General features: G+C 56.4%; 1 protein-coding gene across 12 annotated transcripts in view, besides 5 other annotated features; it reads left to right on the top strand.

Annotated features, from left to right (window-relative positions):
- Positions 1-19,463, top strand: part of SMPD3 (sphingomyelin phosphodiesterase 3) — a 90,182-nt gene that overhangs the window by 58,678 nt on the left and 12,041 nt on the right. For 3 of the 12 annotated variants that reach the window (XR_933371.3, XM_047434336.1, XM_011523210.3), the window contains exons 1-2: positions 3,077-3,233; positions 17,444-18,972. Coding sequence is in view for 11 of the 12 variants with exons in the window: in XM_047434336.1 (XP_047290292.1) it covers positions 17,650-18,972 (1,323 nt within the window). In the remaining variant the exon portion in view is untranslated. Of the gene's footprint in view, positions 1-3,076; positions 3,234-7,583; positions 8,418-14,951; positions 15,091-17,443; positions 18,973-19,463 lie in introns of those variants that run through there. The other 9 variants (XM_011523207.2, XM_047434339.1, XM_017023406.2 and 6 more) reach the window with 9 other exon arrangements.
- Positions 142-969: an enhancer, noted in NCBI's record as "H3K4me1 hESC enhancer chr16:68422765-68423592 (GRCh37/hg19 assembly coordinates)". NCBI's record gives its function as "activates a minimal SCP1, AML or CMV promoter by ChIP-STARR-seq in naive H9 embryonic stem cells {active_cell/tissue: H9 hESC(naive)}" and the evidence as "EXISTENCE:reporter gene assay evidence [ECO:0000049][PMID:30033119]".
- Positions 6,257-7,091: an enhancer, noted in NCBI's record as "H3K4me1 hESC enhancer chr16:68416643-68417477 (GRCh37/hg19 assembly coordinates)". NCBI's record gives its function as "activates a minimal SCP1, AML or CMV promoter by ChIP-STARR-seq in naive H9 embryonic stem cells {active_cell/tissue: H9 hESC(naive)}" and the evidence as "EXISTENCE:reporter gene assay evidence [ECO:0000049][PMID:30033119]".
- Positions 7,092-7,928: an enhancer, noted in NCBI's record as "H3K4me1 hESC enhancer chr16:68415806-68416642 (GRCh37/hg19 assembly coordinates)". NCBI's record gives its function as "activates a minimal SCP1, AML or CMV promoter by ChIP-STARR-seq in naive H9 embryonic stem cells {active_cell/tissue: H9 hESC(naive)}" and the evidence as "EXISTENCE:reporter gene assay evidence [ECO:0000049][PMID:30033119]".
- Positions 9,295-9,795: an enhancer, noted in NCBI's record as "H3K4me1 hESC enhancer chr16:68413939-68414439 (GRCh37/hg19 assembly coordinates)". NCBI's record gives its function as "activates a minimal SCP1, AML or CMV promoter by ChIP-STARR-seq in primed H9 embryonic stem cells {active_cell/tissue: H9 hESC(primed)}" and the evidence as "EXISTENCE:reporter gene assay evidence [ECO:0000049][PMID:30033119]".
- Positions 9,796-10,298: an enhancer, noted in NCBI's record as "H3K4me1 hESC enhancer chr16:68413436-68413938 (GRCh37/hg19 assembly coordinates)". NCBI's record gives its function as "activates a minimal SCP1, AML or CMV promoter by ChIP-STARR-seq in primed H9 embryonic stem cells {active_cell/tissue: H9 hESC(primed)}" and the evidence as "EXISTENCE:reporter gene assay evidence [ECO:0000049][PMID:30033119]".

Below are 19,463 nucleotides of genomic sequence, written 5' to 3'. Positions count from 1 at the left end.
ACTGGGGACTTAAAGGTAACCCCTTCACTAGGGTTCAGTCAAGATTTTTCCCCAAGGTGAGCAGCTGCTCTTCACTCTCACTCACCCCAAACTTCAACTGTAGCATGAGGCTGGGAGGCCCCAGGTCTGCATGAGGTCTGACACTGACAGTCAGATGGAAGGCTGTGTGACTTTGGGTACATTACTAAACCTCTAGGCTCCAGCCTCATCGAAGGTACCTGGCCCCAGTATCACCATGTGGGTAAATAAATCAACCTCCTAGGTGCCCTTTGCAAACATTATTTCTGGACCTGTGAAGTCAGTGTTATCCTCATTTTAAGAAGGCAGCAACTGAGGCTTGGAGAGAGGCCCCAGGGAACAGGTCCATCCATCTCCACAGCTGGTTCTGCTACAAAGGAAAGGTGGAGGTATCCAGGAAACTGACCAAGCTCAGTGCATCTAGGGACATCTCCCGTGGAGCTGCACATCCATCAGGGGTCACCCCAGGTACTGGTCTGTGGTCTTGGGGCCTGTGGGATTGAGGCCTCCTGGTGGACAGGCAGGCAGGCAGGAGCGTGCTTGGGACCACTGCTGGCTCCAGACACTGCCTTGCTGTGCTAGGTAAACGGCCCACTTTCCACACCCGCCCCCCAGGCCCTCCCTGCTCTGCTCCTACTGCCTATTTAAGCCAGAGGCCTGACTCGGCCCAGGCACAAGCCAGCTGCCAGAGCCAGGAGAGCAGCATTGCAGGCCCTGCTCAGCCGGGATGAAAGGTTCTTCTGTTTCACCATTTCCTACCGGTGCGTTTTGAATGATGATGCTGAGCAGGGTTGGAGGCAGGAGCTGATTCTGCTTGCCTGGGAGTATATTGAGATGGGTAGCTGGCAGAGGGAGGCTCTGATTGAATTTTTCCCATTTCTAATCCCTGACTTGATGTGATCTTATTCTCAAAGAGGGAAAAAGTCTGTGGTTCGTGAAAGGATAGGGGGACAGCATATTTCAAAACAAGGCCTGGCTCAGAATATCAATGATCTGACATGTTTCTTTTTTCTTTGAGAAAAGAGAAGGGCCTATAATTTCAAGGTTGTCGAGATTCCATTTCCCCTCAGGAACCCCTCCCTAAATAGTCAGTTCTTGTCATTTAATTCTATTTTGAAAAAAACATGCAGGGATTTTTCAGAAGAGTTGGTGGGGCATGGGAGTGGGGTGGAGAGTGGGGAGGGGGCTGTGCAGCTGGTGGGGGACAGTTTGGGAAATGTCAGAGGCCAAAGATCCTGCTTGACAAACTTCTCACTCAGGGATGAGAGGTGAGCTCCTCCCCACTTAGAGAGAGGGCAGTGGGGGCTGGGAGTCACACAGGCCCAAATGGCTCAGGAGTGGCCTGCCTCCTTTATGTCTAATGCCAGATGCTTGTGAGCCTGTGGCCTGGGTCAGGTCAGCCCAGCAAGAGGGTGAAGGACAGAGGTGCATGCAGGTTGTCAGCCAACTGTGGGTGAAGAGGCAGGAGTCCCAGGGACAGAGGACAGGCCGGGACAGCAGGTCACCCTCTGCTTCCCGGCAGGCTGGACTCCCCAGGCTATGGGTGGGGAGGGATCCTGCCAGGTACTTGGCTCTGAGGGCAAAAGCCAGGGTGTCCACATGAACATAAGGGCTCCTGGGGAAGCCAGGTCACCACGTGCAGAGCATAGACCTGGGGGGCTCTGGCTTCCTTCTTCCCACTCTGATCTGGCAATATCAAGTGCCGGTGCTCATTTGGTCCTGGCCGTGGCCATCCAGGATCTTGTAGTGGCCCCTAATGTTACAGAGGAGGGAGCCTCTGAGGCTCAGAAGTTAAATGACTTGCCCAAGACCGATGGCCTAGACCAGAACCGGGTCTCATTAGAGCCCAAGCCTTTTCTGTGCAAATTCCTAGTGAGAAGGGAGCCAATTGTTTGCCGCAGAGGAGGCGCTCCTGCCAGCACTGCTGCTACATCTTCAGTTAGGGGACAGAGAATGGACGGGGCCTTGGCTTTCAGATTCTTCTGAAACACTTAGTTTGGGTGATTTGCAAAATAAGTGTACCTAAGGGATGCGGTGTGAAGAGTGATAGGTCACCCTACTCTGAATGGAGGGGTGGTAAGAGGGCTTTGGGCCGGGCCATGGGACGGGCTTAAGAAGGTGGAGCATGCAAGGACAGCCCTGGCTGTGCTGGGCATTGGGCAGGGGGCTGCTGAACTTGAAAGCAGAGACTGGGCCTGAGACAGGGGGCGGGCCCCGGAGCCAAGGATTCGGCAGATTAGTAGGGACAAGGCCTGGGACTGGGCCAACGGGCTCAGAGAGCTGCCTGGGGCCAGGGATCAGGGGCGGGGCCAGCACCTAAGGCCAGGGGCGGGACTAGTGGGCAAGGGCGGGGACTACAAACTGGGACTGGGGCCCAAGTGTGGAGGGCAGTGTCCCCAGAGCATAGTGCCAGGATCCCTCACCTCAGTCAGCAAGGGGAGCCAGTGACATCGTGTCCAAAGGCCTAGGTTCACATGAGTTCCCTCCCAGCTGTCTCCTCCAAAGACCCCGCTGGGTTCACAAAGTGTCCCACTGAGCCTCCCTTCCACTGACCTGCTCCCCCTTAGATAAGGGGGGAGCCACCAAATCCCTTTGGTTCCTCTCAATGTTGCTCTTCCTCCCCTAATCCACCCCATCCTGGTGGCCACTGTCCCTCTTCCCTGGCCTGGGTTCAGCTCTCCCCTACCCTCAGTATCTTAGGGAAGCAGAGATTGCACAAAGCTCCCAAAGCTCTGATTGTTCTGGTTCTAACTATCAGATTAAACCTGGGCCCTGCAGCTGGAGCTTTTGAATTCACCTCTTCCCCACCCTCCACCTTCACCCCGCACCCCCTGCGCCTGGCCTGGGTCCCAGTGTCGACGTGGAGGGCTCATCCATCCCACCCTCAGAGTCCTCTCCTCTTGGCAACCCTCCTCCTTGAAAATCTGTCACACAAACCTCGGGCCCCACCCACTGGGACTGCACTTCGTCCACTGGAACTGCCGGGCACACACCCTCGCCCTGGCGACGTGGAGGGTGTGGCAGTGCCTCTGGCCGCAGGTGAGGCCCCTTGGTCTTTGTACCTGGCTCACCTGTTCTGGGCTGCTCGGTGGCTGTCAGGTGAGCTCTGGAGATTGTTCCGGGCACCCCTGTGAACTGCTCATCTCCTTTCAGGTCTGCGGTGACAGCTCTTCTTCAGAGAGAAGGACAACAAGGTCCCAGTGGCCCCTCCTCAGGTAAAACCAAGGCTTCTGGAACCAGAGGGGTGGGGTGGGGGTGGGGAAGGGAGCGCTCCAAGCCTTTCCTCATGGGCTACTTGTTAGTATTTTTATAAAGAGATGCTGTGTGAGATTAGGAAAAGGCTCTCCCGCCTGTTAAAATGTTTGAAAACCACAGCTCTGGGGTAAGCAATTTGGAGCTGGCCATCTGGGTCCCATCCTGAACCTGACTCAAGCGGAGTGCAATACACCCAATCTATGGAGAAAACAATAACTCCCTCAATATATGGGAAAAGGATTTGAAGCAGCACTTCATAAAAGGAATCCAAATTAAGCATCCTGAAAAATGTAACCAGATACCACTGCCCACTAAACTATCAAAAACTTTTTTTTTTTTTTTTGAGACCCGTCTGTCTCTGGGGCTGGAGTGCAGTGGTGCAATCTCAGCTCACTGCAATCTCTACTTCCCGGGCTCAAGTGTTCCTCTCACCTCAGCCTCCTGAGTAGCTGGAACTACAAGTACACACCACCACGCCTGGCTAATTTTTGTGTTTTCTGCAGAGCCTGGTGTCGCCATGTTGCCTTAGCTGGTCTCCAACTCCTGGGCTCAAGCGATCTGCCCGCCTTGGCCTCCCAATGTGCTAGGACTACAGGCACAAGCCACTGTGCCCAGCCAAAAATCACATTTTTTAATGTTAAAACCCAGAGTTGGTAAGGATGTTGTGAAACACATATTCTCAAACAATCAGTAAATTGACAGAACCTTGGTAGAAAGCAGTTTGGCAATATGTATCAGAAGCGTTAAAGTTTACTGAGTAATTCTACTCTTGAATCCATCCCAAAGAAGTAATTCAGACTACTGGCCCATTCTCAGGAACAAAAGCAGAAACTAGTGACCCCTGACAGTCAGGAACCTCAGACTAGGAGCGAAAACAAGACTACTGTAAGAGCCCACTCCTTCTCAAATATTGACAAATTAAGCGTTGTCAGGGTTGCCAGGGTGGTCACCAGGCTGGGGGCAGGGAGATTTGGGGATCCAAGGTGGTGGTGACTGGATGGAAGAAAAAAAGGGGAAATAGATGAGACCAGCAGCTCGCAGGGAGGGAGGAAGAAGATCGTTGGAGTTTTCACCAATGGCTCAGTGGGGGTGGGTGACAAATGTAACCTTCAGGGGACTGAAAAAAGAGGCAAAGGTCTTGTTTTGTGGGAATCGAGGGGGATCGACAAGAAGGACAGTGTAGGGAATGTTACTCTTCCCCCAGAACGTGTCCTGGAAGTAAGGGTGGTGCTGGATGCTGCTCATTTACATATTTCTGGATATGTTTGCATATCACTTATATCAGCCTTGGCAAGAAAAGTAGAGAGAAAAAGGAAATTGGAGTCAGGTGACTTGGCTGCACCTCTCAGGGACTGCCATTTACTTCTCTGAGTCTCCGTCTCCTCATCTGTAAGTGGGGCCAGCTGTACCCATTTGGGGTAGTTGTGCAGTATAAATGCACCCCCAGTGTGAAAAGCATATTCTCTGAGGTGCTGGGTGACGCCTTCTCTGATATCCCCAAGAGGCGGCTGTTACTTCTGCAATTCTGATGCTCATGTCCAATCTCCCTCTTGTCTTTGCCATGGACTGGCTCATAGCTGTGTCCCCGCTTCAGGAGGGAAAGAGAAAGGAAGGAAGGGAGGGAATGAGTTTGAGGTCCCAAGCAGGCCGCAGGTGGCCTCAGATGAGGCCATTCTGGCTGCAGCTCCAGGTCAGCAGGGGGCAGGGCTGCCACTTGTTCTCAGTCGGCAGGGGTTCCTATTACCTTCCTACTCTACACACAGCTAGGGTCAGGTGATGGAATAAAATACTGAGTGCTTGCGGGGGGAGTGGGGGGCACAAGCTTTGTTCTCTTCATCTGGCCTCAGAGTTAGAAAACAGAACCCTCATTCCCTGGGACTGGAAGTTGGGATGGTGGGGGAGCACCTTACCCCCCAACCCCAGGGCTCCACATGGGCAGGGTCCCTGGTCCTGCAGAGACAACCCACAGAGTCACACACACAAGGCCGTCCCTCCTTCTGCTTTGAAGGATGGAATTTGCTGACATAGCTTGAGCCTCCTGTCTCTCAGTTCTGTTTTTAGCTTGATAGATCTGAAGGTGTCAGATCTATCAGGGGCTGGTTACCTCCCTTTCTAGTATGCAGACTGCAAGCTTGTGCAATACATGCACAGAAACACTCAGCTATCAAGAGAGAAAGGGCCTGTTTGGCCTCAGCCTAAGGTCCTCTAGTTATCCCAGGGGCCATGGGTGGACTGGCTGAGTTTTGATGAAGGGATCTTCTCTGTGAATCTTGAACCCTGAGTTCCTCTGCTGAGGCCATGTTCCTTCACACAGATGACGGCTGTCAGGGAACAGCCCCAACAGAAGTGTGGAGGCCTGGAAGGGCACAGTGGGGGACTGCTCGGGTCAGGGCCCCTGGAGCTCCAGGAGCAAGAGGAGACAGAGGAATCAGGCCACCAGATATAGCCTGCCCTTCCCTGCCTAGGTGCCTGGGCAACCTCCTGGAGTCCGCAGGCACTACTGAAGGGCCATAGGGGAGCAGTGTGGTATGATGTGTAGTTTAGAAAGACCCCACCAGCTGCCAGGTGGGCCAGAGGAGGGAGACAAGGTGGAATCTGTTACAGTGTCTAGGTTGGAGAGGGCGAGGCCTGAACTGGGATATGGCTGTGGGAATGGATCCAGGGGACTAGGGGGCAGAATTGTGAGCTGGGAAGAGGAGACAGGGTATGGAAGAGGTCCAGGGCCCAGAACTATTTGGGAGACAGAATTGTATGTGGGGAAGTGGGGGGAGGAGGAGTAATAAACTTCTAGAGGAAGATGTAGAGTTGTCAATCAAATACATGTGGTCAGAGATCAGGAGATACCTGGGCTGGCTGTCACCTGGAAACAGGTAACCCACAAGGGATCAGCCGAGAAGGGAGGGAAGAGGCAAGAGAAAGTCCAGCCCCTAGGAAGTGGGCAGGGAAGGGGCTCTGAGGGATCCTCCAAGGGCCCTGAGAAGGAGCAGTCCCATGGTGCGGGGAGCAAGAGGATGGCGCCAGGACCAAGGGGCAGCAAGTGGAGAACAGATGAGGAATGAGCCTCTTACACCTCCGGTTGGGCCTATTTCCTAAGGCCAATCTGGTTGAAACTGCATGGACTGTTTTCTCAGAGGTGCTGACCTCTGTTCTGGACGTTTTCTTTCCAAAACTTTACCAAGAAAGTCTAGTGAGACACTCTGTCTTCCTTTTCTCTTGTGGTGTGCGGGGGAGGGCAGGCAGCCTCAGGTGGGTTGCCATCCAGACCCCCAACCAGCCAGAGGGCCACTCAGCCCTCCTGGAGTTCAGGACAGATGCAGCCAGCATGCTCTGAGCAGAAGGGATGACTTGAGCCAGCTTGCTCTGCACAGTGTAGGTGGGATGCTATCCGGACAGGCTAAGCATTTAAGTTAAACAAACCTGGCTGGGCGCAGTGGCTCAAGCCTGTAATCCCAGCACTTTGGGAGGCTGAGGCGGGTGGATCACCTGGGGTCAGGAATTCGAGACCAGCCTGGCCAACATGGTGGAACCCGATCTCTACTAAAAATACAAAAAAAATTAGCTGGCACATGCCTGTAATCCCAGATACTCGGGAGGCCGAGGCAGGAGAATCGCTTGAGCCCAGTGGGGGGTGGAGGTTGCAGTGAGCAGAGATTGCACCATTGCACTCCAGCCTGGGCGACAGAGCGAGACTCCATCTCCAAAACAAAAAACAAAACAAAACAAAACAAACAAAAAAACTAACTGGGGGCAAACTAAGTGAATGCAGGGGATCCTCCCCTCAGGCCCGTGTTCCCCAGCTGCCCCTCCTGGAGGATGCCTCCTTGTCTGCAGTCAGTGATCTGGTAGTCATTATGGTCCTCAAAGGCATGGCCCTGGCAAGGCAGGATTCCCTAAGTGGCTCCACCTCCCTGAGTCCACTCTCAGTTCCCTTTCTGTCCCACCACCACACCTGTTCCTCCCTTGCTCACGGCTTGCTCCACCCAATACCCACCACCTTCCTATCTCCACACCCTCCCTCGGGGACACCCCACCCTTAACTATACACAACTAGGAGGCAAAGTCTCTGCTGCCAGAAACCCTAGGCCCTTGCCGTGCAATACCCTGAGCAGCCACTATGCTGCATCTGACTCGCCCAGTGCCCCCAGCCTCCCTGCTTAACAGCTGCTGCCCAGCCTGCCCCTGCCAGCCCTGGGTGCACTGTCAGCTAGCCACACCTGGCAGTGTCTCGCCAAGCTGGGCCTCTGGGCTTTGTCTCTATCTGAGCCCACCTTAAAGGATCCCCAGTGTTGCCTCCTGCCCCTCCCCTACAGGGCTCACTTGGACCCTGTGACCAACCCATACCCTGACCCCTGGCAGAGGTTTCCGGTGGATTTACTTCTCCACGTCTACGGATTTACTGTGCTACCTGTGTCACCAAAGCAACCGCTTCTCTGAGCAGAAAGTTTCTACTACAAATTAAAAGATTAAGACTCAGCTCCCCTGATGCTTCATGGTGCTAGAAGAACTTGGACAGGTAGGAATGGACTTTTTTAGGCCACACTGAGGAGGTGAGGAGTGAGCCTACCGCCTGGCCTGGATTCAGGACAAAGGAACATCATTATTGTTTCATTATCCTTGAGAGCAGGAAGAGTTGGATTGGATTGGAGGGTAGATCTGGCTGTATTCTTGAGAAACTGCAAGCTGTCCGTAATGAGGCTTGTTTTCAGCATCAAGTAAGTGGACTAATTACACAGCCAATCAGAAGCTGTCCTCTATTGGTCAGGATGGGATGGGTCATGCGGTGGTTATAATCAAAGGTTTTCTTCTTGCCCACACTACATGTGGGTTAGCTGGGGCCCTGCTCCATGTCTCTTCACCCTGGACTGAGGCTGACGGAGCAGCCACCATCTCCAACACTGCAGGTCAATGTGGCAGAGGGAGAGAGCTCTGGAAGGTTCCACATCTACCGTTTAAGTACTTAAGCGCAGCAATACCCGAGATCACTTTCACTCACAGCTCATTGGTCAGAACTCATCACGTGATCCCACCCAACCGCCAGAGGACCAGGAAGTGCAGTCCTACCTCTTGGCTGGACATCAGGTTCCAGGTGCTCCAGGGGCCAGAGGAAGTGAGGCAAGAGTCCTGTCTCGGGCTTGGAAGCAGAGGTAAACTAAAGGGAAAAGAGCTCTGGTCTCCCCTTATCAGATGTACAGCAGCCCTTGGTTGGGCCTGAGCTGGGGCATCCTCTCTCAAAGGGGAGGGTGTTCTGGCTGGTTCTCTTGGATCCAAGGGCTTTCATGGTGCCGTGTGCAGAGGGATGGTCTTTCATGGTGCCATGTGTAGAGCAGTGGCCTGGGGTTAGAGGTCTCCAAAAGGGTCCAGGACGGGGCCTCAACCCTCAGCAGTGAGGCCTTGCCCCAGTCCAAAAAGCCCAGCCGCCTGGGAGGGTGAGTGAAATGCTGACACCTGATTTTATTTACTCATTCTCACTCACTTGCTTCTTAAGGTCTGCATAAATTTTCCTCTAGGACTCAGTTTGTTAAATGTTCTTTGCATAGAAAACTTTAGACTGAATGTGAAATGATTCCCTTCCGAAGAATGTTAGCCCGTCTGTTCTGTTTTAGGAAGGTTTGTCGTCTTAATCTGTGTTCTCTGGTGCCTTGAAATGCCTACACATCGTGTAGTCGGCCAATCCGTTCCAGAAGGAAATGCTGTACTTGAAATGCAGCCGACACAGGGTCTGCCTAAATCCTAACATTTGTGTGGACTTGTGTTTAAAATTCTACTCCCACAGACAGTATGCTGTCATCCCCTCTTAAGTAAAGCATATTCCAAGCCTTGTTAGGCTCATGAACCATTAACATCAGCCTTCATGTCAGGGAAGTAGGGACTTGGCTGGGACAGAAATCTCAACAGCAGAACCTGAGAGAAGCAAGGCCCTCCTGGTCTCCTTCCTATGAAGGGCAGAGGTGGTGCTGAGGGCAGAGGGCCTCCTGAGGATGCAGGTGGCGCTGGTCAGCCGGGAGCAGGTGACGTGACCTGCTTTGGTGTTCCAGGATCCCTTGCTTTGGTGACTTGCAAGGCCCAGCCCAGGCACAGGCCTCAGCACCCAGGCAGGCTCAGAGCACTTGAGGTTGGAGGCCTTGCCTGGCTAGATGCTCAGCTGTGGCCTGTGATTGCTCCAGTTCGGCCCCGGAGCTGCCTCAGGTGGAGGAGGTTCCCCATCTTCATCCTGAAGCAAGACTTTGCCCCTGGCCTCCTCTCTGTCTTGGGCTCAGCCTCCATGAGGGCATAGGACTGGCGGGAGCCCTGCGGGCTTCTGCCCTTGCAAACTCTGGCAGATAAGTCTGGTTGTCAGGCTGGTTTGTGAGCAGAACACAGGAATGAGAGGAGGTGCTGCCTGGTGTGGCTCAGACGTGGGTCTAGGTGCCAGCCTCCATCCAGCCTTCTCCTTGCTGGCACCCTTTGTGGTCACTAATAGATGACTTTGGAGTGACAGGTGGTAGAGAGTGGGCAGTCAGGTCTTCAAACTCAGCTGTCCCCCTAGGATGGGGCCCATGCCTCCAGGGCAACTGCCCATGTCACCGTGGCACAAGGGCCTGGACCCAGGGGTCCTGCTGTTTGAAACATCACGTTGGCTCTTGCACCTCTAGGACGTGCACCACTCACCTGGCTTGAGATTTGCTTTCCAGTCACGCCCGAGTTGGCTTCATCTGGGCTTTCTGACTTCGCCAGGGAAATGCCGAGGCTGGCTGGTTGAAGGAGTGCCCCAGAGCTGCTCACAGCCTGTTCCTATTCTCAGAAATCACACGGTGCAGTAATACCTCCTGTGAAAAGTTTCTTTTTGAAAATTGTATGGCCCCTTTGCCTGCACCTGGCTTCTGCAGAAGCCTGTGCCTTGGGCTCGCACAAGCAGCCCACAACAGATGGCTCTGATAACCTCCTGCGAGGAGACGGAGGCCCTGACGTCGTCCCCTGCACTGTCCTCGCCATGCACCTGGGAGAGCAGAGAACCCTCTTTGTAAGGCAAACCAGCCTCAAGAGGAGGAGACTTTGAAGGCTCCGGCTGTATCTTCAGGACTTTGCAGCAAGGGAATTAACAGTGATAGCAAAATGATAAAAATAAGCGTCCTAGAGATGAGGCAGGCACCACACTCGGTGCTGCACGTGCACCATCTGCAACTACCCTGAGAGACGGTTATTACCAAGGCTTAACATGTGAGGAAACTAAGGCACAGTCAGTTGAGCAGCCTGTCCAATATCCAGCAGGTCGACCTGGCCCTGCATGTCCAACACCAGAGTTTGTGCTCCCAGCATCTGCTCCACTGTGGTCTCCCAAGGGATGCCGATAAGGCACAGGCCAGAGGCACCAGGTTCTGCAGGGCCTCCCAGGACTCAGGGGAGCCTCCACTTTTCCCAGTGGGACGTCAACGGGGAGCCACAGGAGGTTTGCACAGGAGAGGACCTGATAGAATCGCATTTTAGAAAGATCACATAGCTGTATCTGAGACAGGATCCATTTGGTGGCAAATGCCAGAAACCAACTCAAAGGGACTAGAGCAAGGAAAAGGGGAACTGCTGAATCATTAATTGGAAAGTCTGTGGGTTGTGCTGGCTTTGGGTGCGGGGAGATCAGAGCTCAACGATGTCTCTAGGACTTGGTCTCTTTCCTTCCAGCCCTAAGGTCTGTTTTCCTCTGAATTGGATTCATTCTCAAAGAAGGTTCCAGAAGCTTCAGGTTCCTAACCTTCCATCTCAGATAAAATGCAGGCCTCTTTCCTAAAGGGCCCAGTAAGGGTTCCAGGGAGAGCTTAGGGTAGTCTAGCTGGGTTGTGTGACCTTCCAGGTCAGGAGGGCTGGTGCTGAGTGGCCTGGGTGGCTCACTGCCCTCCCTGTGGAGTGCAGCAGGGTGGGCTTCAGGCTTGTGGTGGTGCCGAGACTTGGAGCTCCATCCAGGACGTGCAAACAGACACGTGCCTGATTAGAGTGACAGACTGAGGGGGTGGGGGGGTGTGCAGGTCAGGGAGGACTGCAGGGAGAAGGAGGCAGGTGCTTTGGATCTAGATGGATGAACAGGCATTTACCTGGCACACCTGTGTCTGTAGGAGCCGCTGCCACAGCACACATGTTCTTGCCAGACCCCAGACCCCAATTCTACCTGGGATGTGGCTTTCGGGAATTAGCGTGGATGTGTCCAACCTGCATCACTCAGAAAGGCATCCGCTTCTGTCTTTCTGTCCTCCCAGCCACGAGTTGACTTAAGTTTCAGCAGCTCAGAGCTCATGTTGCCATGCCAACTCCTCTGCAGCATGCATCCAGGCAGAAATGGCCCGGCCTGAGCTCAGTGCCACAGGCGGATGCAGGCACCTTGGGTAATTGGATTGGAGCAATCCACGTGGCTTTTCCTGCGGAAACCAGGGGCTTGGCATAGCTCCTGTTTAGACATGAGCTTGTGGACACGGCAGGGACTCAGAGGAGGCCTCTCTGCTCTGGGACTCCCAGCCCTGCTGCCGGGAAGAGCAGTGTCAGCAAGCACATGAGCCAGAGGAAAGGGCAGTGGAGGGGAGACAGGCCTCATCCTAGCGCCAAAGTGGGGCAACTCCCAAACCTACTCAATTTTCCAGAAGCTCCCCCGGGCTCAGAGATCCCTAGAAAATGCTGTAGGCTTCCTCACAGGGGCCAGGGCTTGCCTTACCAGCAGAACTGGTCTGGCTTGTTCACTTTCCCACCACCAGAGAAATTCAAATTCAAAGCCAGGATCCACCTAGGACCCTTTGCACCACTGTGCAAGCAGAGCCAGTGTGCCATTACACCTGCATGTCTATTGCCAGGGAGTTGGGAAATGGGATGACTGTCTTGGTGCTGGTGGTATTTGACGTCCAGTAGCAGAGGTCCTGGCCACCATGGCTTGTCCAGACAGGACCAGCCTGGCTAGGCCTTATTCCTGGGATCACCCTCCGCTGGTGATGGCAGATCAGCTGCCCCCTGAGCCCTCAGGCCAGTGTCTAGGGAGGGGGGCTCTGGCTCAGTGCAGGCCTCTGAGCAGCCATAGTCTCCCACTGTCCGTGCCGTGATGCCTCAGGTCATATGTCAGCAACAGGGGTCTCATGGCTGCAGATTGACTACAAATTATCAGTCACTCGCAGGAGCAGCCGCAGTCTGGGGCTGCCGGCTGTCAATGCCACACACCCACCAGGAGCGGCTGGGGCTGTGGCCACCTGGGTCCTGCCCAGGACTTGTTCACTTCTTCCCCTCATCCCCTCACAGCTGGACTTGGGGTTTTCTGGGCTCCCAAAGTCCCAGGGCAAGTTCTCCTCCTGCTTGGGTCAACCTGCAAACCATGGAGCTCTCTGCTCCCTGCAGCCCAGTCCCCACTGCAGGGAACAGCCACAAGCTAGTGAAGTCCAGCAGCTCCAGCCTAGGCAGTGTGGCTGATGTCTCTGAGGCTCCTGAAGGCGCTCTGGGACAGTCAGGATCCTGGGACTTCTGTGGGTGGGCTCCAGTGACCCCCAGAACCGTGCCCAGGACACCAGGCTGGGGAGAGCAAACAGGGCACACAAGGGCTGACCCTCAGGGGAGGAGTGGTCGGGAGGTCCTACCAGGAGCGGGTAGGGAAGGAAGCAGGGCCTGGCCAGGTCTCTAGCCTGGTTCCTTTCTGTCCTTATGATCATCCTGGGAGGTAGAAAGTCCTGACTAGTGCAGGGTTGCACTCAGGTCACCCTGAGTCCCAAGCCCAAGCTAAGCAGTGGCCGGTGAAGCCGAGGGCCAGGGGCAGGTCTAAAGTCTCCTTTTCTAGGTCGGGGCTGACTCCCAGGAGCCCAGCCTTGGGGTACTGTGTGGCCTCCCACACTGACCCCAGGGCTCAGGAGTGACCATGGGGCCTGCCAGGACCTATGACGACCTGGAGACAACGGGACTCCAACTCAGGTCTGGAGAGCATGGTGTTGGGGGATGTCATTCTGGGCAACCTCAGAAGCTACATACCAGGATTCGCAAAGGGGACAAATCCATGGATAACTGTGGACTTCAAAATAAGGAGCCCTGGGGGAACAATGCAGTCTGAGGTTGAGCTGCAAAAACTCAGCCCTCAAGGCCTTTGGGGGTCCTGCCAGTCCCCTCAGAGGGGCCCACAGTGGACTCTACTTGGCAAACTTGCCAGTCCAGGGACATGGAAGCAGAGAGCGGGGGCATGGAGTCCCCCACCTGGAGACAGACTCTGGCCTGGGCCCACTCAATGGCCCAACTAGGCCAAAGGAGCGCAGGCAACAGGAAGGGGACAGGCACCAGTGCGGCTGAGCACCACCACGCAGCAGGCCCGGGCCAGGGAGCATGTCCTGCCTTGGCCACCTCTCTGAGGACTTGGGGGTTTCTCTGAAAAGTTACCAGCCTCTAATGTTTAACTGTAGTTCTCCTCTTTCATGGGAAAGTGTAGATCAGACTAATTAATGTGTTGTTGCTTATTTACCCTCCTTTCATTTCCCTGAGACAAGATAATTAACCACAGAGCCTTAGAAACTAGCTCCATGGTTTCTCCATGGGTGGCAATCCCTTTTGTGTCTCCTGCGCCAGCGGCTTCTATGCAGAGGCAGGGGCCGCACACAGGAGCAGGGCAGGGGGCAGCAGCTGGGAAGCTGGCGAGGGGCTATGGACGGGGGACCTGGAGTCACTAGGAGGGGCCTGGAAGGGCAGCGGGAAGGGCTGGCATGCTTGGCTCTGCCACTTCCTAGAGGAGTGATCTTGGGCCACTCCTGCCCACCAGCTGCCAGTCACCTCAAATCCCATCAATTCCTGAATAAGGACCAAAGACAGTCCTCTGGCCAGCCCAGGAGAAGTGTAAAGATCAGGACTGGCCACTCACTACCATTGCTGGCAGGGCCATGGGAAGCTGGCCCACAGGGTTTCTGGGATCACAGCAGGAGAAAGGGGGGCCCAGGGCAGCTGAGGAGAGAGTCTCTCTCCTCTACACCCTCCATAGCCCCATCTCAGCCAATAGCAGATCCCAGCCCTGATGGGCCAGTGTCAGGGATGCGCCACACGGGAGAGCAGTTTTGCAGAATTCCCTTAGGAACCCTTTGATGAAGTGAGTCTCCACCCTCCTCTGACCCATGAGGGAGCTGTGGCCACACTGTGGAATAGCAGCCAGTTCTGCCAGGACGGCAGCATGGTGCAGACAGGATAGACCTTCTCCTCCCGAATCCTTCTGCCAAAGTGTCCTCACGCCAGGGCTCAGCCTGCACAGCCCTTCCTGCTGGTGGAGCCCAGGGTGGGGGTGGATGAGGGAAAAGCTGGTGGAGGCAGAAGCACAAAGGGCCCCTAGATACAGACTGGGAGACTGGACTTTGTCCCCCAAGACAGTGAGACCACCAAAGGGAGAGAGAGAATCGGCTGTGTCTGGGAGGACCCGCTGCACACTGGTGGTGGGCTTGGGGCTGTGGCTGAGGCTGAGGGCAACAGGGCAGTGCCGGGGTGAGGCAGGAGCTCAGGTGAGGATGGTGCTGGCCAGGCTGGGCTGGTGACCTCAGGCCACAGAGATGAGGGTGACTCAGGAATGGGCCTGCTTCATGACATTGGGGTGACGTCCAGGTGGCCCCAAGAATCTGGCCTGGACCTTTAACCTGAGGCCTTAGTGCCAACTGCAGGGACTATTGGTGGCTGGAGAGCCTTGAGAGACCCCCATCCCGCCCCCATTGTCCCCACAGGGACAGGACCTGCAAGCTCTCCCTCTGGCCCCAGCTGGTCCACCAGAGACAGGTGCCTGTGGGTGACTCTGTGTCCCCTCCTGTGGATGTCAGTCCAGCCAGTGTGAAGACAGCCGGCTCCACACAATGAGGGCTGCAGGTTTGCTGGGGGGGAACCCTCCAGCCTGGGAGGGAGAGTGAGTGGGCTGTCGCTCCCTCTGCAGGTTTGATTCATCTTGCAGCAATTGCTGGGATTTTAGAGAAAGAATGAGGGAGTACGTCCTGGAGTCTCCCAAGCCAGATGGCAGGCGGGGGTGGACCTGGACACCCACCAGTCCCGCTGAGCACTGAGCCACGAGCACTGGCCGCAGAGTGAGATGCCCATGTCCCAGATTTCACTGAGGCCCAGCACAGAGCTGCTTTCCCATGGCTCCAGGTTGCCCCGCTGTGGTCTGCACAGATACACATGCTGCTCCAAACTGCACCCGTCCAGTGTTGGCTTCAAAGGCATTTCCCCTGAGGAGAGTGACAGCCTTGTGAAGCTGCTTATCAGAACCAGATACAGCCCCAGCTCAAGTTCACCTTTAGACGCTAAGCCCTGGAGATGGTGACTGCAGACTTGCCCTGGGGCCTCTGACATGCCCCACAGAAACCCCCTCCGCACACCTCGGGTTGGTGGGAAAACAGCTGCCCCCTCTCTGGCTGGAGGCATCCAGGTGAACCTCCCCTCATCCCCCATGTCCTGCATACCTGCTGGTGCAAGCCTGGGACTCTAGGGCGCCCCTGTGCAGCCTATTCTTTCCTGAAGCTTGCGGTCTGCTGGGCAGGTGGCCATATCCCAGAGCATTTGTGATACAGAACTGCAGAGACCAGGCCACACGTGGCGGGGATGAGAGCCACCGGTGGAGACACCTAAGCCACCGGGGCAAGGGGTCCAAAAGTCTTCTAAGGAGGGAATTTCTAAGTTGAGTCTTAGAAAGGGTGAGCGAGGCGAGGGGCAGAGGATGGGGAATGGCAGGCAGGGACGGGACACAAGTGAGAGGCGGGCGTCCAGGGGAGGGGGCTGCAGAGACCCGCAGGCCTGACAGAGGGGCTGAGCTCCCCACTAAGGGCTGAGGGAGTTCCAGTAGGTGTGAGGCAGCTGTGACACAGCGGACTACATAGAGAGCATCCCTGCAGCCCTTGTGGAGGCTGATAAAGTTGGGGAACCGTGATGCAGTCCCAGGCCGGTGCAGGGGGTCCAGCAGGAGTGGCAGGGACTGATGGGGACTGAGGAAAGGCAGAGTCCAGTGACACCTAGGTCCCTGGCTTGGGTGACCAGGGATTCAGGAGGAGGAGAGGGTGTGGGGCCAGGATGGATGGCACCGTGGGCTCAGACCCCCCAAAGTGCCAGGGCAGGAGCTGGGCTGAGTCAGCAAGACAGTGGGTGGGAAAAGAGTGGCCCAACTGCTCCAGTCATGGAAAGTCTGGGTTACGCTTCTATAGGCTCCCCGACGGGGTGATCACACGTGGGTCCCCGGAGACTGGGCAAACACTCCAGAAGCTTGTCTTTATTGATTTTACATTCAGCACAATAGATGCACCTGGCAGCCTTGCCTAGGTGGAGCTCTGAGTCTGCTCTGAGACCCACTTGTGGCTCCCACAGGGGACCCAGGGTGGGCTTATTCAGATGGCTGTGGGTCTCGACTGGGCTGCATCTTGGAGTACATGAGGGACAGCGGTTAAAGCTTGGGCCAGACCCACACAGCCCCAGGGAGCTTCTCCAAAAGTCACAGGGACTGTCAGGGGAACTCTGATGGTTCTGGAAGTTGGTAAGACGCAGGCTGCGCTTGGATCCTCATTGCTGGGGGGTTTCTCCCGCGGTCAGTGGAGTGGAAGCACCAGGCTTGGTGTGATCCTGCAGGCTGGGGCCACAGTGACAGCCCGGTTGTGCATGGAGGGGGACCGCCCTCCCCTGCGGCCCTGCTGGCCACACTGCCCTCTGCTCCAGGAGTCTCTGGCCCCTTTGCTCTGCTGTTTTTTCCTGCTCTGTCCTTAGCTGGCAGGCACTCCATGACAAGTGGCCATGTTTGTGGCTCCTCTGACCCAGGGTCACCTGCCCTCTCATTCTAAAAACTGCCCTGGCTCCTGATGGGCTTCCGGCGGCCCCCGGTCAGGGTGGGCCCAGGCATCCTCTAGGATGCCCTGCCTGCTCCCTTTGCACCCACAAATCTGTAAGTCTCTGAAAACCAGGACCATTTTTCAAGCAATTGGGTTACAAGGTCAAGATGGTTAGTTAGGGGCAGTCATATCACCAAGCTATTCGCTCCAAGAGAACAGCATACATGGAGGAAGCGGTGTGCGGGGGCTGTCTCCCAGCCACCTGCTGAGCCTGCCAGCTCCAGCCTGGTTCTCAGAACTGTCCCACTCACACCAGGGGAAGCAGGAGTGGGATGAGCTGGGGCAAAGGCCCCATATCTGACCCACTCCCCTGAAGATCACTAAAAACAGTCCCCCTACTTTTGTCTCTGCAGGGTCTGCAGTAGGCCTCCGCATGGCCCACCGAGGTGAACCATGACCGGCTGGCCAACATTCGCCATTGACCAGCCGGAGTTGCATCTCGCCAGGAGGTGACCCCTCCTCCAGCTGCCCCCAACTCGCCCACCCTCGCCCAGGAAAGTGCCCGCAGCTGCCACGGACACCATGTAGTAGGGCCGGCTGCGGCGCCCAGTGAGCTGCGATGGTTTTGTACACGACCCCCTTTCCTAACAGCTGTCTGTCCGCCCTGCACTGTGTGTCCTGGGCCCTTATCTTTCCATGCTACTGGCTGGTGGACCGGCTCGCTGCCTCCTTCATACCCACCACCTACGAGAAGCGCCAGCGGGCAGACGACCCGTGCTGCCTGCAGCTGCTCTGCACTGCCCTCTTCACGCCCATCTACCTGGCCCTCCTGGTGGCCTCGCTGCCCTTTGCGTTTCTCGGCTTTCTCTTCTGGTCCCCACTGCAGTCGGCCCGCCGGCCCTACATCTATTCACGGCTGGAAGACAAGGGCCTGGCCGGTGGGGCAGCCCTGCTCAGTGAATGGAAGGGCACGGGGCCTGGCAAAAGCTTCTGCTTTGCCACTGCCAACGTCTGCCTCCTGCCCGACTCACTCGCCAGGGTCAACAACCTTTTTAACACCCAAGCGCGGGCCAAGGAGATCGGGCAGAGAATCCGCAATGGGGCCGCCCGGCCCCAGATCAAAATTTACATCGACTCCCCCACCAATACCTCCATCAGCGCCGCTAGCTTCAGCAGCCTGGTGTCACCACAGGGCGGCGATGGGGTGGCCCGGGCCGTCCCCGGGAGCATTAAGAGGACAGCCTCTGTGGAGTACAAGGGTGACGGTGGGCGGCACCCCGGTGACGAGGCTGCCAACGGCCCAGCCTCTGGGGACCCTGTCGACAGCAGCAGCCCGGAGGATGCCTGCATCGTGCGCATCGGTGGCGAGGAGGGCGGCCGGCCACCTGAAGCTGACGACCCTGTGCCTGGGGGCCAGGCCAGGAACGGAGCTGGCGGGGGCCCAAGGGGCCAGACGCCCAACCATAATCAGCAGGACGGGGATTCAGGGAGCCTGGGCAGCCCCTCGGCCTCCCGGGAGTCCCTGGTGAAGGGGCGAGCTGGGCCAGACACCAGTGCCAGCGGGGAGCCAGGTGCCAACAGCAAGCTCCTGTACAAGGCCTCGGTGGTGAAGAAGGCGGCTGCACGCAGGAGGCGGCACCCCGACGAGGCCTTCGACCATGAGGTCTCCGCCTTCTTCCCCGCCAACCTGGACTTCCTGTGCCTGCAGGAGGTGTTTGACAAGCGAGCAGCCACCAAATTGAAAGAGCAGCTGCACGGCTACTTCGAGTACATCCTGTACGACGTCGGGGTCTACGGCTGCCAGGGCTGCTGCAGCTTCAAGTGTCTCAACAGCGGCCTCCTCTTTGCCAGCCGCTACCCCATCATGGACGTGGCCTATCACTGTTACCCCAACAAGTGTAACGACGATGCCCTGGCCTCTAAGGGAGCTCTGTTTCTCAAGGTAGGAGACCTCGGCCCAGCCTGAGGACCACGTGCCAGCTGGTCCTAGAGCCATGTAGGCAGGGGGGCTGCAGCGGGGAGTCCTCATCGTCATGGGGGCTGGAGTGGGAGGTTGGAGTGGGAGGCAGACGCGGTCTTTCCTGGAGCCAAACAGCAGGGCCCTGGCTCGGGGACAGGGTCAAGACCAATGCAGGGATGAGCACCGAGGCTCTGGGCTCAGACAGACCCATCTGGGTGATCTGGGCCCGTTCCTCAGATCTCTGAGCCACCATTTCCCCAACTGTAAAGTGGAGAGAGGGTGGGAGTGGAACAGAGCAGTAAGGCCTGGGAAGGGTTCCGAGCTGGCGCAAGAGTGGCGGTGGTAGCCGTGGAGATGGTGGCAGTGATAAAGTGAGGAAGAACAGGAGGTAGGGGCCCTGTCGGTTCATAACGAGGCAGAGAGACCAGCCCAGACCAAGCGCATCAGGCAAGCAGACGGGACCCTCAGGTCTC

Source organism: Homo sapiens, chromosome 16, assembly GCF_000001405.40.
Source record: "Homo sapiens chromosome 16, GRCh38.p14 Primary Assembly".
Lineage (NCBI taxonomy): Eukaryota > Metazoa > Chordata > Mammalia > Primates > Hominidae > Homo > Homo sapiens.
The sequence above is the reverse complement of the archived record's forward strand: the minus strand, read 5'-3'. Positions and strand labels throughout refer to the sequence as shown.